This window comes from Homo sapiens, chromosome 7, assembly GCF_000001405.40.
Source record: "Homo sapiens chromosome 7, GRCh38.p14 Primary Assembly".
In the NCBI taxonomy this organism is placed as follows: domain Eukaryota; kingdom Metazoa; phylum Chordata; class Mammalia; order Primates; family Hominidae; genus Homo; species Homo sapiens.
The window spans coordinates 74,995,687-75,011,651 of record NC_000007.14 but is presented as its reverse complement, the minus strand read 5'-3'; the positions used below and the strand labels follow the sequence as shown (position 1 = coordinate 75,011,651).

The 15,965-nt window shown below is 51.6% G+C and overlaps 1 protein-coding gene across 1 annotated transcript in view; it reads right to left on the bottom strand.

The window, feature by feature from the left end:
• Window positions 1-15,965, bottom strand: part of CASTOR2 (cytosolic arginine sensor for mTORC1 subunit 2) — a 66,824-nt gene that overhangs the window by 19,877 nt on the left and 30,982 nt on the right. The window contains exon 2 of the mRNA NM_001145064.3: window positions 3,588-3,658. Coding sequence (NP_001138536.1) covers window positions 3,588-3,658 — 71 coding nt within the window. The remainder of the gene's footprint in view (window positions 1-3,587; window positions 3,659-15,965) is intronic.

Genomic DNA, 15,965 nt, shown 5'->3' with positions numbered 1-15,965 from the left:
ACATTCTCCTGCCTCAGCCTCCCAAGTAGCTGGGACCACAGGCGCCCACCACCACGCCTGGCAAATTTTTTTTGTATTTTTAGTAGATATGGGGTTTCACCATGTTAGCCAGGATGGTCTCAATCTCCTGACCTCGTGATCCACCCACCTCGGCCTCCCAAAGTGCTGGGATTATAGGCGTGAGCCACCGCGCCCGGCCTCAAACTTTTTTTTTTTTTTTTTTGAGATGGAGTCTTGCTCCATCGCCCAGGCTGGAGTGCAGTGGCATGATCTTGGCTCATTGCAGCCTCTGCCTCGTGGGTTCAGGTGATTCTCCTTCCTCAGCCTCCTGAGTAGCTGGAGCTACAGGCATGTGTCCCCATGCCCGGGTAATTTTTGTATTTTTAGTAGAGACGGGGTTTCACCATGTTGACCAGGCTTGTCTCGAACTCCTGACCTCAGGTGATCTGCCTGCCTCAGCCTCACAAAGTGCTGGGATTGTAGATGTGAACCACTGTGCCTGGCCAAAATGCTAATATTTTGGCAGCACTTTGGGAGGTCAAGGCAGGTGGATCACTTGAGTTCAGGAGTTTGAGACCAGCCTGGCCAACATGGTGAAACCAAACCCCACCTCTACTAAAAATACAAAAAAATTAGCCGGGCATGGTGGTGGGTGCCTATAATCCCAACTACTCAGAAGGCTGAGGCAGGAGAATCGCTTGAACCTGGGAGATGGAGGTTGCAGTGAGCCAAGATCACGCCACTGCACTCCAGCCTGGGTGACAGAGTGAGACTCTGTCTCAAAGAAAAAAAAAAGAGAGAGACAAAAAAACAAATCCACTCAATTTTTTTTTTCTTGGGCAATAATAGATTTCTAAGCAGCCTGGTTTGCTGACCAGGAAACGCACCCTGGAAGGGAAGCCCTTACCCTGAAGTCACAGAGGTAAGGCTGGCTGGCTAGCCTCTGGCCTTGCTGGGCTAATTGAAACCTGCTTTCCCAGTGGTCCCTGTGTTCCTCAGTGCTGCACCTGCGGCTGGGAAAGGCTCAGGGAGGGGCAGGGCAAGACAGTTTCAAAAGTCACAAGGCTCTGGGGAATGGCAGGGTCGAGGGATTGTGGGCAATTCCTTCCCTGGGCCAGCCGAGGGTCTCAGCCTGGGCCCAAGGACCTCTATTTGAAGAGAGCTTACTCACCCCCAGGAATTTCCTACTTCACTCCTTGTTCCCTCTCCTGCACACACACACCCCAGGAGACTCTACCCCAACTCAGCCCTAACCCAGCCCAACAACCTTCAGTGGCTCCCCAGTGCCTGAAGAATAAGATCCAAACTTACCCTGCCTACCTCTGTCTTCCCCTTTTTTAGAGGCTGGACCTGGCCCTTGCTTCTGCTCCTGTACTTTCTCATTCAACTCTCCTCTGACATGTTTTCTTCCTTCCCCACAAGGCCAGCAAAAATATCACCTCCTCCAGGAAGTCCTCCATGACCACATGAGCTCACCAGGAACTTCCGCTTTTGAGCCCCCAGAAAGGACCATGCTGCAGAAGTCTCCCCATGCTGCTTCTAACCCAAATAAAGTATAGGAGGGGAGTTCAGGAAAAAGCCTAGAGCCAGGCACAGCAGTACACGCCTCTACTCTCAGCTACTCGGGAGGCTGAGGTGGGAGGATTGCTTGAGCCCAGGAGTCTAAGGCTGCTATGCACTACGATCATACCTGTGATTAGCCACTGTACTCCAGCCTGGGCAACATAGCAAGAACCTGTTTCTTAAAAAAAAAAAAAAAAAAAAAAATTAAGTGCCTGCATGCCAGGTAGAAACCATGAAGGGAGGGGTGCTTTCCAGGCAGAGAAGCGCATGTGTGTGCAGCCACATGGAGGAATCTTTCCTGATCCCTCCTCTTCCAGGCAAGCCCTGTCCTCCTGTCTCTCTTCTCACACTCTAGTTCCCTGGGGATGCCAAGTGTGTCCCCAGTACTAGAAGCTGTGGCTGTACACACATGGGGTTCTCTCTGCCTGGAAAGTGCCCCTCCATTAATGTTTTCCACCTGGTGGGGGCGGGGGGGGCCACTTAATTTTAATTTTAATTTTTTTTCAGAAATAGGTTCTCAGGGCCGGGCGCGGTGGCTCACGCCTGTAATCCCAGCATTTTGGGAGGCCGAGGTGGGTGGATCACGAGGTCAGGAGATCGAGACCATCCTGGTTAACACGGTGAAACCCCATCTCTACTAAAAAATACAAAAAATTAGCCGGGCGTGGTGGCGGGCGCCTGTAGTCCCAGCTACTCGGGAGACTGAGGCAGGAGAATGGTGTGAACCTGGGAGGCGGAGCTTGCAGTGCTGAGATCACACCACTGCACTCCAGCCTGGGCCATAGAGCGAGACTCCGTCTCAAAAAAAAAAAAAAAAAAAAAAAAAGTTCTCAGGCCAGGCAAGGTGGCTCATGCCTGTAATCTCAGCACTTTGGGAGGACGAGGCGGGTGGATCATGAGGTCAGGAGATCAAGACGATCCTGGCCAACAGGGTGAATCTCCATCTCTACTAAAAAATACAAACATTAGCCGGGCGTGGCGGCGGGCACCTGTAATCCCAGCTACTTGGGAGGCTGAGGCAGGAGAATGGCTTGAACCTGGGAGGTGGAGGTTGCAGTGAGCCGAGATCGTGCCATTGCACTCCAGCCTGGGTGACAGAGTGAGACTCCATCTCAAAACAAAAAACAAAAAACAGGTTCTCATCATGTTGCCCAGGCTGGAGTGCAGTGGCTATTCACAGACGTGATCATGGCACACTACAGTCTCAAACTCCTGGGTTTAAGCAATCCTCCCACCTCAGCCTCCCAAGTAGCTGGTAGTAGAGGCATACACCACCATGCCTGGCTCTTTACTCTTAGCTGGGTTCACTTCAAGTGTTGCTTGAATTCTGGGAAGTCCTCTTAAACTGTGCCCTTGCCAGCTAGACACTTTTCTTTATTTTTTTTATTTTTAAGAGATAGAGTTTCGCTCTGTCTTCCAGCCTGGAAAGCAGTGGTTCAATAACAGCTCACTGCAGCCTCCAACTCCTGGGCTCAAACGATCCTCCTGCCTCGGTCTCTCAAGTAGCTGGGACCACAGGAACATGCCATCATGTCCAGTTAATTTAAAGTAACGTTTTAGTAGAGACGGGGTCTCACTATGCCCAGGCTGGTCTCAAACTCCTGGGCTCAAGTGATCCTCCCACAGTGTTGAGACTAAAAGCGTGAGCCACTGCGCCCGACTGAAGATGTTCTAAAGCACTTTGTAGGTTTCAGTGAAACATGTTCCTTTTCTTCTGGGTTGATCTAATTCTCAGCTGGGTAGCGCCGTACCTACTTACTACTCAGGAGTCTTTCCTAGGGCAATCTCAAGAGCAGGAGGGGAGGGGACCCTCCAGAACCCAGGGAGGGGACCCTCCAGAAGCCAGGGAGAGAAGGAAATACACTCTGCTGTTTTTCCAGCTGACCAGCAGATGAGGGCAGAAGTAAGGAGGTAGGTGGGGGCAGAAATAAGGAGGTGGGCGGGGGACAGAAATAAGGAGGTGGGCAGCCAGCCCTGACTTCGGGGCATGGTCCAGCCGAGCCCCTAGGGAGAGAAGCACTTACCTAGGAATCCTTCCTCATCGACAATGATAGTGTAATCCTCTGGCGTCTCAGTCAGACTGAAGAACTTGCACCTGGATGGATGGACAGACACAGAATATCTCATTAGTCCAGGCAGGTCCCCTGGGGCAGCTGCCCACCCGTGCCCTGGGGATGATGACTCAGTTCACCCAGAGTTCCGGCCCCAGGCTGCTGGGGTGACCGCGGGTAAGTTGTTTATCTCTCCCTTCATGTCCCCCTACTCAGTTCTCACTCAGGAGAGGCACAGAGATGCTGATTGTCCCCACTATACCCCCGCAATCTTTGGGGACCTCGGAGCCAGTCAGCCCCTATGACTGTGTCCAGGCCTGAGGGCCCAAGATCCCAAGTTTTCTCGGAGGGAAGAAGTGGCCGAAGGGTGGCTCCAGTGTGGGTCAGGCAGAGGAGCTGTCTTTTCCATGGCTCTGCCACTGTAACCTCTAGGTGTCTGTTCCCATCTCCCCTCCCATTGACTTGGCCTCCTCCTCAGCAACTCTGGAGCTCCAAGTCATAAAAATGCCTAATTCCCACCAGCTGACTGACAGCCCAGCCCTCGGTTTATTTTCCATCCCTAAAGAGAGAGGAATGCAGCCATCCGTGACATTTTTGGGACATGGATCTCTGCCCCACCTCACATCATCTCTGATAGCACCACTCAGCCTGGGAGGTATGTTGCTCATCTACCCGCAAAACAAAACCATCTATTCTCCAAAAACAGGGACCAGAACCCTGACCCTGCTGGCCTCGGTCCTGGGCATGGTTTTGGTGCCCAGGTCTGTGTCCAGGTGGCCCTTGGGCTGAGCTTCTAGGCTTTTGGTCCTTGGGTGATGGGGGTCATCATCCCCTCAACACCCATGTCCCTGTTCCCCATTTAGCCAGAACCGCACCCCCACTGCACCCTAGAGAGTATTGCAGGCAGAGATGGCAAGTCCAAGTGTGCACAGGCAGAGGCTTGCAGGAAACTGACCCCTGGCCACTTATCTGGTGTTCCGGCTCTCCAGCACAAAGCCGGGCATGGGCTCTGCACCCCCACCCATTGAGGGGAGCTGGGACAGAAAGAAGCCCATGAGTAACCCAGGTGTATTTGTCTGTTCTCATGCTGCTAATAAACACATACCCGAGACTGGGTAATTTATAAAGGGAAAAGGTTTAATGGACTCATAGTTCCACATGGCTGGTTGGTGGTTGGCGGGGCTGGGGGGGCGGGGGTGCTCACAATCATGACAGAAGGCAAAGAAGGAGCTAAGGCATGTCTTACATGGCAACAGGCAAGAGAGCATGTGCAGGGGAACTACCCTTTATAAAACCATCAGATCTCGTGAGACTTATTCACTGCCAGGAGAACAGTATGAGGGAGACCACCCCCATGATTCAATTATCTCCACCTGCCCCCACCCTTGACACGTGGGGATTATTACAATTCAAGGTGAGATTTGGGTGGGACACAGCCAAACCATATCACCAGGCAAAGGGCAAGTATCACTCTCTCAAAAGATGCAAATGGAAAAGGGATCTTTGAGTGGACAGTGTTGCAGGGGATGGGGGTGGCTGGTGTATCCATGGGTCACCCTTCTCCCTGGCCTCCTCTCCTGCCAGCTGCCCTGCAGCCCCCTCATCTATAGAACCTCTCCAGCTCCTTTTCAAAACTTATTCCTGAAAATTTTCACAAGGATATGGAGCCACTGGAACTCTCTCATGCTGCTGGTGGGAGTACAAAATGGCCCAGCCCTTCAAACATTCATTTGGCAGTTTCTTTCTTCTTTTTAGAGTCAGGGTCTTGCTCCATCACCTAGTCTGGAGTGCAGTGATGCAATCACAGCTCATGGAAGCCTTGAACGCCTGGGCTCAAGCAATCCCCCTGCCTCAGTCTCCTGAGTAGCTGGAACTACAGGCACACAATACCATGTCCAGCTAAATTTTTTGAGACAGTCTCTCACCCTGTCACCGAGGCTAGTGCAGTGGCATGATCTCAGCTCACTGCAACCTCCGCCTCCCAGGTTCAAGTGATTTTCCTGCCTCAGCCTCCCCAGTAGCTGGGCTTACAGGCGCCCACCACCACATCTGGCTAATTTTTGTATTTTTAGTGAAGACAAGGTTTCTCCATGTTGGCCAGGCTGGTCTCGAACTCCTTACTTCAAGTGATCCACCCGCCTCAGCATCCCAAAGTGCTGGGATTATAGGCATGAGCCACTGTGCCCAGACTGTCCAGCTAGTTTTTAAAGTTGTTTTTGTAGAGATCAGGTCTTGCTGTGTTGTCGTCTTGAACTCTTGTCCTCAAGCAATCCTCCCTCTTTGGCTTTCCAAAGTGCTGGGATTACATTTGTAAGCCACTGCACCCAGCCGGCAATTTCTTATAAAGTTCAGCACACATTGACCACCCAGCCTCAGCTATCCTGCTCCTGGGTATTCATCCGCGAGAAGTGAGAACAGGTGCCCGCACAAAGACTTAGGTGCAAATACATATTGCCTGTTTGTATTTGCCCTAAATTGGAAACAACAATGGACACAATTTTTGTTTCCTAAATTGGAAACAAAAAGGACAAAGAATGTCCTTCCTTCAACTGGAGAGAGGATAAACTAAGGCATGTCCACATGAGGAAATACGGGTCAGCAATTAAAAGGAATAAACTACTGATTCGTGCATTAACATGGGTAGATCTAAAGTGCATTTTGCTAAGTTAAAGCAGCCAAGCTCAAAAGATTCTATACTGTATGTTTCTATTCATATGACATTCTGGAGAGGCCAAACTATAGGGACAAATGATTAGCAGTTATCAGGGGACGGGTAGACACTGACTAGAGAGGGGCACTGGGAAATTCTGGGGGGATGGGCCTCTTGAGTGTGGCAGTGGTTACAAGATCATATAAATTCACATAAATTTAGGCCGGGTGCGGTGGCTCACGCCTGTAATCCCAGCACTTTGCGAGGCAGTGGTGGTTGGATCACCTGAGGTCAGGAGTTCGAGACCAGCCTGGCCAACATGGTGAAACCCTGTCTCTACAAAAAAATGCAAAAATTAGCCAGGCGTGGCAGTGGGCACCTGTAATCCCAACTACTGGGGAGGCAGAGGCAGAAGACTCACTTGAACCCGGGAGGTGGAGGTTGCAATGAGCCAAGATCACGCCACTACACTCCAGCCTGGGTGACTAGATTCAGACTCCACCTCAAAAAAACAAAAAAACCTCACAAGATCATACAAATTTGTCAAAACCCAAAGAACTATCTGCTAAAAAGGGGTGAATTTGTGAATTACGCTGTATGTAAGTCATACCTTGATAAACTTGAATGTAAAGAAAATGCTTGGCCTGCTGCGGTGGCTCATGCCTGTAATCCCAGCATTTTGGGAGGCTGAGGTGGGCGGATCACTCGAGGTCAGGAGTTTGAGACCAGCCTGGCCAACATGGCAAAACCCCAATTCTACTAAAAATATAAAAATTAGCCCGGCGTGGTGGTGGGCGTCTGTAATCCCAGCCACTTGGGAGGCTGAGGCAGGAGAATTACTTGAACCTGGGAGGTTGCTGTGAGCTGAGATCGTGCCACTGCACTCCAGCCTAGGCAACAGAGCCACTCCATCTCGGGGGGAAAAAAAAAAAAAAGCCTGTGCTAGGGTCATCCATGAGGTGGCCTCTCTCCCCCTGGGAGGGGCGTAAGGCATTCTGCTGGAACAACCACCCACGCTCATCAATTTCCCTCTGGCTCTTCGGTTTTCAAATTACGTCTCAGTCCCTGCCTGTCCCATATCCAATTTGCAAGTATTGCCTGGACACGTGAAATCTATAATTGCTTTGAGGACAACAGCAAATTATCACCACAGTAAGTGGCAATCACTGGTCAGGCCCGGACCCTTCCTAGGGACCCCCAGGAACTCAGAAAGAGCCCTGGACTCCCACAGTCACCAGACTGCCATGAGCTGGTACTCCCTGGGTGGGGCGGGGCTGCCCAGCTGCCCGAGAGCCCCGGGGAGGCAAACAGACGCGGCCCTTGCTCCCGGCGCCCTCGGCTCTGAGGGACACTCCAGAAATAGACCGCACAAATTATTCCGGAGGGCATAAACACCAGCAGAAGGCAACAGCGGCCTGTGTGTAAATGGAGTATAAATATGTTGTTGAAGTGACCTGTCCCCAGGGGCTGAGCTAGGGGACATCTCGGAATGTGCACCTTGGCACGGGTGGGCTTCGGGGAGGGCAGATTAGCCAGAGGCACCGGCTGCCGTTGCTCTGGTCACTACCCTCAGGAGTCAGCCCCCAGACTCCTCCCTCTCCTTGACCTCCTTGTTGTTGTTGTTTTCTGTTTTTTTTTTGAGATGGAGTCTCGCTCTGTTACCCAGGCTGAGTGCAGTGGCGCAATCTCGGCTCACTGCAAGCTCCGCCTCCTGGGTTCACGCCATTCTCCTGCCTCAGCCTCCAGAGTAGCTGAGACTACAGGCGCACGCCACCACGCCCAACTAATTTTTTGTATTTTTAGTAGAGACAGGGTTTCATCGTGTTAGCCAGGATGGTCTCGATCTCCTGACCTCGTGATCTGCCCGCCTCGGCCTCCCAAAGTGCTGGGATTATAGGCGTGAGCCACCATGCCCGGCCTTTTTTTTTTTTCTTTTTTGAGACAGGCTCTTGCTCTGTTGCCCAGGCTGGAGTGCAGTGGCATGATCTTGGCTCACTGTGGCCTTGCCTCCTGGGCTCAAGCAATCCTCCTAGCTCAGCCTCCCAACTAGCTTGGACTACAGGCGTGCATTACCCAAGCCCAGCCGGCTAATTTTTTATTTTTTGTAGAGACAGGGTCTCACTATGTTGCCCCGACTGGTCTTGCACTCCTGAGCTCAAGTGATCCTTCTGCCTTGGCCTCCCAAAGTGCTCGGATTATAGGAGTGAGTCACTGCGCCCAGCCCACACCACTTCTTAATTCAAGCTACAGGTCCCCCTTTGCCTTTGGATTACATCTGCTGTGTTTCTTGTCTTATCAAGCTTAACCCTCCTGTCCTTGCTTCTTGAAGTCATCCCCCTATTGCCGGGCAGTTGGCCATTCCCCAGTCCAAGCACAGCACCCCCTTGCAGGCCATCCTTAGCCTCCCAAGTACCCGGGATTACAGGTGCACACCACCACACCCAGCTAATTTTTTAAATTTTTATAGAGATGGGATCTTGCTATGTTGCCCAGGCGGGTCTTGAACTCCTGGCCTCAAGTGATCCTCCCACCTCCACCTCCCAAAGTGCTGGGATTATGGGTGTGAGCCACTCCACAGGACCCCATGTCTTCTATACTCGAAGGTCACTCTGAGATCCGTTTTCGCCTCTCCACCACTCCCCACAAAGCAAACTCAAGGCTGGACTACCCTCCTGTCTTGTCTCCCTCTTCCACTCCTGGCCTCAACGCCCCTGCCTCCACAGTCTCATGCCTCCAACAGTGACGAATGTTCTTTCTTTTTTATTTGAGATGAAGTTTTGCTCTTGTTGCCCAGGCTGGAGTGCAGTGGTGCCATCTTGGCTCACTGCAACCTCTGCCTCTGGGGTTCAAGAGATTCTCCAGCCTCAGCCTCCCAGGTAGCTGGGATTACAGGCGCCTGCCACCACATCCAGCTAATTTTTTGGAGTTTTTAGCAGAGACAGGGTTTCACCATGTTGGCCAGGCTGGTCTCAAACTCCTGACCTCAGAAGATCCACCCGCCTCAGCCTCCCAAAGTGCTGGGATTACAGGCATGACCCACCTCGCCCAGCCTAAATGTTCTTTCAGCTACCCAGCATAGCCTCCCAACTTTGTTGGCTGAAGATTTCATGTTCATCCTTTAAGACTCAGTTCAAACATCTCCTCTGGGGTAAAACCTTTCCTGGCCAGGCATGGTGGCTCATACCTGTAATCCCAGAACTTTGGGAGGTGGAGGTGAATGGATCTCTTGAGGTTGGGAGTTTGAGACCAGTCTGGCCAACATGGTGAAACCCTGTCTCTACTAAAAATTCAAAAAATAAAATAAAATAAAATAAAACCCTGCCTGATCAACACCAGCCACTTCCTTTCCCTCATCTCCCATCATAGAGGTTGTCCTCCTTTGACAGCCTACAGCCCCACACTATGTCTATTGGATGACTTTCAGGCCACTGTGGACAGCTGGGCTGGTGGTGCATCACAGCCCAAGGATACAGTTCATCTCACAGTCCTATGTGAAGTATGCCCTTAGAGTTGTGCAGTGCACAACCCATCCAACTGCGCATGACAGTGCCGAGTGCTTCCCACAAACTATTACAAATCATACTTTAAGGGTCTACTTCCCTCAGTAGACCACAGCTCTCAGAAGCAAGGACAGAGGGTCCTCCGTACACACACCTTGTATCTGACACTGGCTGGGCATGGAATCAACACTCAAGGATTGCTGAGCGAAAGGATGGACTGTGGCCACACACTTGCCTTCAAAATCAGAGAAGCCTCAAAGAGAACAAACCCTGTCCGCCCTCATGTGGTATCACCTTGACTTAACCCTCCTCTTGGAGAAGCTAAGGTCTCCAGTTCTAATTCTCTCTCCGCCTTTTCTAATGAGTCATGGCCAGGTCCACACCCCAGATGCCGGGCCCCCGGGGTTTGTGGCCTCTCTGTACTCTGCCTACAAAGAGCTGGAAAGAGGAGCAAATGCCAGAAAGTACCCAGTGTGGGTGCTAAGTGCTGTTAAAAAACTCCAGGTGGGAGGCCGGGCGCAGTGGCTCACATCTGTAATCTCAGCACTTGTGGAGGCCAAGGCAGGGGTATCACTTGAGCCCAGGAGTTTGAGACCAGCCTGGGCAACATGGTAAGACTCCATCTCTACAAAAAAATTTAAAAATTACCTGAGCATGGTGGTGTGCCCCTGTAGTCTCAGCTACTCAGGAGGCAGAGGTGGGAGGATCACTTGGGCCTGGGAGGCGGAGGTTGCAGTGAGCCGTGATTGCACCACTGCACTCCAGGCTGGGTGACACAGTGAGATCCTGTCTTAAAAAAATAAAATAAAAGATGCAGGCTTGATTCCTGCAGGGTCACCATGCCCTGTGTCAGCCAGACTCTGCCAAGGTCACCTGCTAGCTTGCCTGGGAACAAGCCAGGACCTTTGGAATTAACGGCCTGGCCTGCCGGGTGCGGTGGATCATGCCTGTAATGCCAGCACTTTGGGAGGCAGAGGCAGGTGGCTCACCTGAGGTCAGGAGTTCGAGACCAGCCTGGCCAACATGGTGAAACCCCATCTCTACCTCTACTAAAAATACAAAAAATTAGCCAGGTGTGGTGGTGCACACCTGTAGTCCCAGCTACTCGGGAGGCTGATGCAGAATTGCTTGAACCGGGGAGGTGGAGACTGCAGTTGAGTCGAGATTGTGCCACTGCACTCCAGACTGGGTGACAGAGCGAGACTCCATCTCAAAAACAAACAAACAAACAAAAAAGAGCCTGGCCAGCGGGGTTTTGAAACAAGCCCAGAGCCTTCACTGCTCAAGTGACCCACCCACCCAAACCAGAGAGGCTCTGCAAACATGCCCCAAGACAGGTGTCTTGGATGTTATGGGCGCCTGTTTACAAAACATTCTCGGGCCTTACTTAAAGCAGGTCCTTTCTCAGCCCACTTGGGATTACAGCACCAGCCTGGAAGGACAGGGGTGTTTCTTGCAAAGTGTGGCCCGTTCTGTCTGGAATGAGGGAGTTTGGCCACATCTCCTGCAGCCTATCCAAGTGAGGGAATGAAGGGATCAGGGCCTCACCTGCTTCTGGAGACCGCCCACCCCTGCCCCTGCCAGCCAACTTCTGGCTGCCTCCCTGCTGATGTTTTACTGATGTGGCTAATAGTAGCATTCATGCATTCATTCATTCCTTTAGAGACAGTGTCTTGCTCTGTCACCCAGGCTGGAGTGCACTGGCATGATCATAGTTCACTGCAGCCTCCAACTCCTGGGCTCAAGCGATCCTCCCACCTCAGCCTCCTGAGTAGCTGGGACTATAGATGCACATCACCATGGCTGGCTAATTTTTAAATGTTTGTGGAGACGGGGTCTTGCTATATTGCCCAGGCTGGTCTCGAATTCCTGACCTCAAGCGATCCTCCCAAGCCTCGGCCTCCCAAAGTACTGGGATTACAGTTGCGAGCCAGTGCACCCAGCTGACAGGGGCCTTTTAAAACACGCAGTGAGTGGCCGGGCGCAGTGGCTCATGCCTGTAATCCCAGCACTTTGGAAGGCCAAGGCAGGCGGATCACAAGGTCAAGAGATCAAGACCATCCGGGACAAGGTGAAACCCCGTCTCTACTAAAAATACAAAAATTAGCTGGGCATGGTGGTGTGCACCTGTAGTCCCAGCTACTCGGGAGGCTGGGGCGAGAGAATCACTTGAATCTGGGAGGCAGGGGTTGCAGTGAGCCAAGATCACGCCACTGCACTCCAGCTTGGAGACAGAGCGAGATTCCGTCTCAAAAAAAAAAAAAAAAAAAAAAAAAAAAAAAAAAAGCAGTGAGTGATAGAAGTGTTTCGGGGCCACAGTTCATGGGGCTTTTCTTCCCAGAGGAAAATCAGGGGGAGGGTGAGTGCCCAGCTTTGTTCTGCTAACCAGCTGCAGCTTTTTCATCTGTTTCTCCTGGGTTTTCAATGGGTCTCTCCTGTTATTTACATTTCATTTCTCCTGTCCTTAGCAACTAGAAGCTGCCCTTTCAAGTTTTACTTAGAAAAAGGCCCTTAATTGGTTCTGCAATTGGAAGGGCGATCCTGAACAGGAGTTATTTTGCCTTAAGATAGAAAATAAGGTCGGGCGCGGTGGCTCATGCTTGTAATCCCAGCACTTGGGGAAGCCGAGGCGGGTGGATCACGAGGTCAGGAGATCGAGACCATCCTGGCTAACACGGTTAAACCCTGTCTCTACTAAAAAAAATAAAAATAAAAATACAAAAAATTAGCTGGGCATGGTGGCGGGCGCCTGTAGTCCCAGCTACTCGGGAGGCTGAGGCAGGAGAATGGTGTGAGCACAGGAGGTGGAGCTTGCAGTGAGCTGAGATCGCGCCACTGCACCCCAGCCTGGGCAACAGAGCGAGACTCCATCTCAAAAAACAAAAAAAAAAGATAGAAAATAAAATGTGCTTGTGTCACGGGCGACCAGGAGAATCCAATCAGACAGCGTGGGTGATGGTGTTTGGCAAATTCCAGGGTGATTATGGAGAGGCAGCGTTACCAAAGGGGACGGATAGGGCAGAAGAAATCACAAAGATCTGGGGGAAAGCCCCAGGAACCCAGGCTCCCCTCCAGGAGATCTCAGTCCTTGTAGACAAGAGTATACCTTCTGCTTGTCAGGTCTTGGTGCAAAATAATCACTGATTTTGGATCTCCCCAATTCTCATGGTCCCCAGCCCAACTTCCTTTCACCCCCACCAGCCTATCACCTCCCTAGCCATGGTGATATCCATCATAGTACTGAGATTAATCACTTCCACGTCTGTCTGCCTTTTTTTTTTTTTTTTGAGATGGAGTCTCACTGTCGCCCAGGCTGGAGTGCAGTGGTGCGATCTCGGCTCACTGCAACTTCTGTCTCCCATGTTCAAGCGATTCTCCTGCCTCAGCTCCCCGAGTAGCCGGGATTACAGGCGTGTGCCACCATGCCCCGCTAATTTTGTATTTTTAGTAGAGATGGGGTTTCGCCATGTTGGCCAGGCTGGTCTCCAACCCCTGACCTCAGGTGATCCACCCACCTCAGCCTCCCAAAGTGCTGGGATTACAAGTGTGAGCCACCGTGCCCGGCCCCATTTCTGTCTTTGCGAGCAAGAGACAAGGCTGCATCTCCTCCTCCAGGGCCGCCATGCCCAGCACAGGGCTTGGTACGAGGTCTGTAATCAGTGTGACCTTAATGAATGTGCTGTAGAATGATTCCCATTTCACAGACGGGAAAACCGAAGCTTAGTTGGGTTAAAGGAGTTAGCTGCCTGGGGTCTGCCGAGCCGGGGCTGAACTGCCTCTATGGGTTGGGGGCTTTCTGAAGGCAGGGGGGACTTGTAGCATACGCCCCATGACTCAGCATTTCCATTCTGAGACATCCACCCTTTACAGATATGTAACGGGAGACACAGACAAGAGGATCCGTGACAGCCTGTTCTCAGTAACAAAAACCTGGCCACAGCCCAGACGCCCATCAGCAGAAGAGGACATGAAGAATGGCAGAATATTACCCAGCAGGCAACACATGAACCATCCACAGTGTTAAGCAAAGAGATAAACAAGTGTCAGCAATGTCACAGCACTGTGGGTTGAAAAACAAGTCCCCAGACATTGTGTATGGCAGGGTAGACTTTTTACAGAGTTACAAGTACCTATGATTAAAAAAAAAAAACAAAAACACCTGGTCAGGCACAGTGGTTCATGCCTGTAATCCCATCACTTTGGGGAGGCCAAGGCAAGCAGATCACTTGAGGTCAGGAGTTCGAGCCCAGCCTGGCCAACATGGTGAAAACCCATCTCTACTAAAAATACAAAAATTAGCCTGGCATAGTGGCACATGCCTGTAATCCTAGCTACTTGGGGGGCTGAAGCACAAGAATCGCTTGAACCTGGGAGTTCGAGGCTGCAGTGAGCTAAGATCACGCCACTGCTCTCCGGACTAGCAAGACTCTGTCTCAAAAAAAAAAAAAAAGGCAATGCTTTGGAGTTGGCAGTCCGATCCTGTGGTCTTGGGCATATTTACACAGCTCCTGAGCCTGTTCCCCAAACTTCCAAGAGGGGTATCTACTGTCTGCCTTCAGGAACCAGGGTGAGGAATCAATGTCCCTTTGCAGATAAAAGCACCAGGTGACCAGCCTGGGCAACACAGTGAGATCCTGTCTCTACAAAAAATAATCTAAAAAAAAATATTAGCAGGGCCTGGTAACATGCACCTGTAGTCCCAGCTACTCAGGAGGCTGAGGAAGGAGGATTGCTCGAGCCCAGGAGGTCGAGGCTGCAGTGATGAGCTATGATTGCACCACTGCACTCCAACCTAGGTGACAGTGTAAGACCTTGTCTCAAAAATAAAAAATAAAATTAAAAAAGCACCAGGCGGCTGGGCGCGGTGGCTCATGCCTGTAATCCCAGCACTTTGGGAGGCCGAGGGGGGTGGTTCACCTGAGGTCAGGAGTTTGAGACCAACCTGGCCAACATGGTGAAACCCCGTCTCTACTAAAAACACACACAAAAAAATTAGCCGGGCGTGGTGGCAGGCACCTGTAATCCCAGCTACTCAGGAGGCTGAGGCGGAAGAATTGCTTGAACCTGGGAGGCGAAGGTTGCAGTGAGCCGAGATCGCGCCACTGCACTCCAGCCTGGGTGACAGAGTAAGATTCTGTCTCCAAAAAAAAAAAAAAAAAAAAAAAAAAAAAAGCACCAGGCATGCTGTGGTTGCTTTCATAAACAGCATCCATGCATCCATTTCTGGTTTTGGTTAATGGCACGACACTTCCCTGGTCTTTCCCTGACATAACCAGAAGCTCATTCAACCTTCTGTGTTCCTTACACCAGAGCTGAGAACGCACACCGAGACACACAACCTCTGACCTTTCCAAGCATGCAGACAGTTTTGTGTCAACATGCTGAAGACCACAATGGAAATATTTGACCCTAAAGCAACCTGCAGTCCTGCCCTGACACTATGAATTGGGACGCAACATTCTCTGGAGGCCTTGCTATTAAAGGACTTTGGGGACACGCTGGGGCATGGGCTGGAGTTGTTGTCCTGTCACATGGTAACTCTCGGAGTGGCCCTGGTTCCCGGTCACACTCATCTCCTGCGGCCACCACCACTCCAACCCTACCGTGTACTGCTGGCCTGTGGGGCTGGGTGTTCCTGGGGGCCCCTCGGCTGGCCCCATCCTTAGATGACCCCTGCCCAAACTCACCCTCAGCAAAGACATGCAGCTCAGAAATCCCCCTTTCCTGCCACCGGGGCCCATCTACCCATTGCTGGGTGAGCTTAACCCTCCCTCCCCCAGACCTCTTCCACCCCTGCCCCTCTGCCACGCTCAGCACCCCAACACACACCCCAGATTTCCTAAGACACAGACCAACTGGGGAGGGCACCCTCTCAGAAAGTCTCTGATCATTCGCCCATCTTTTTTTTTTGAGATAAGGTCTTGCTCTGTTGCCCAGGCTGGAGTGCAATGGTGCAATCATAGCTCACTGCAGCAGCCTCAGACTTCTGGGCTCAAGTGAGCCTCCCAACTCAGCTTCCCAAGTTGCTGCAACTACAGGTGCACACCACCATGCCTGGCTAATTTTTTTTTTTTTTTTCTGAGATGGAGTCTCGCTCTGTTGCCCAGGCTGGAGCGCAGTGGCGTGATCTCGGCTCACTGCAAGCTCTGCCTCCCAGGTTCATGCCATTCTCCTGCCTCAGCCTCCCAAGTAGCTGGGACT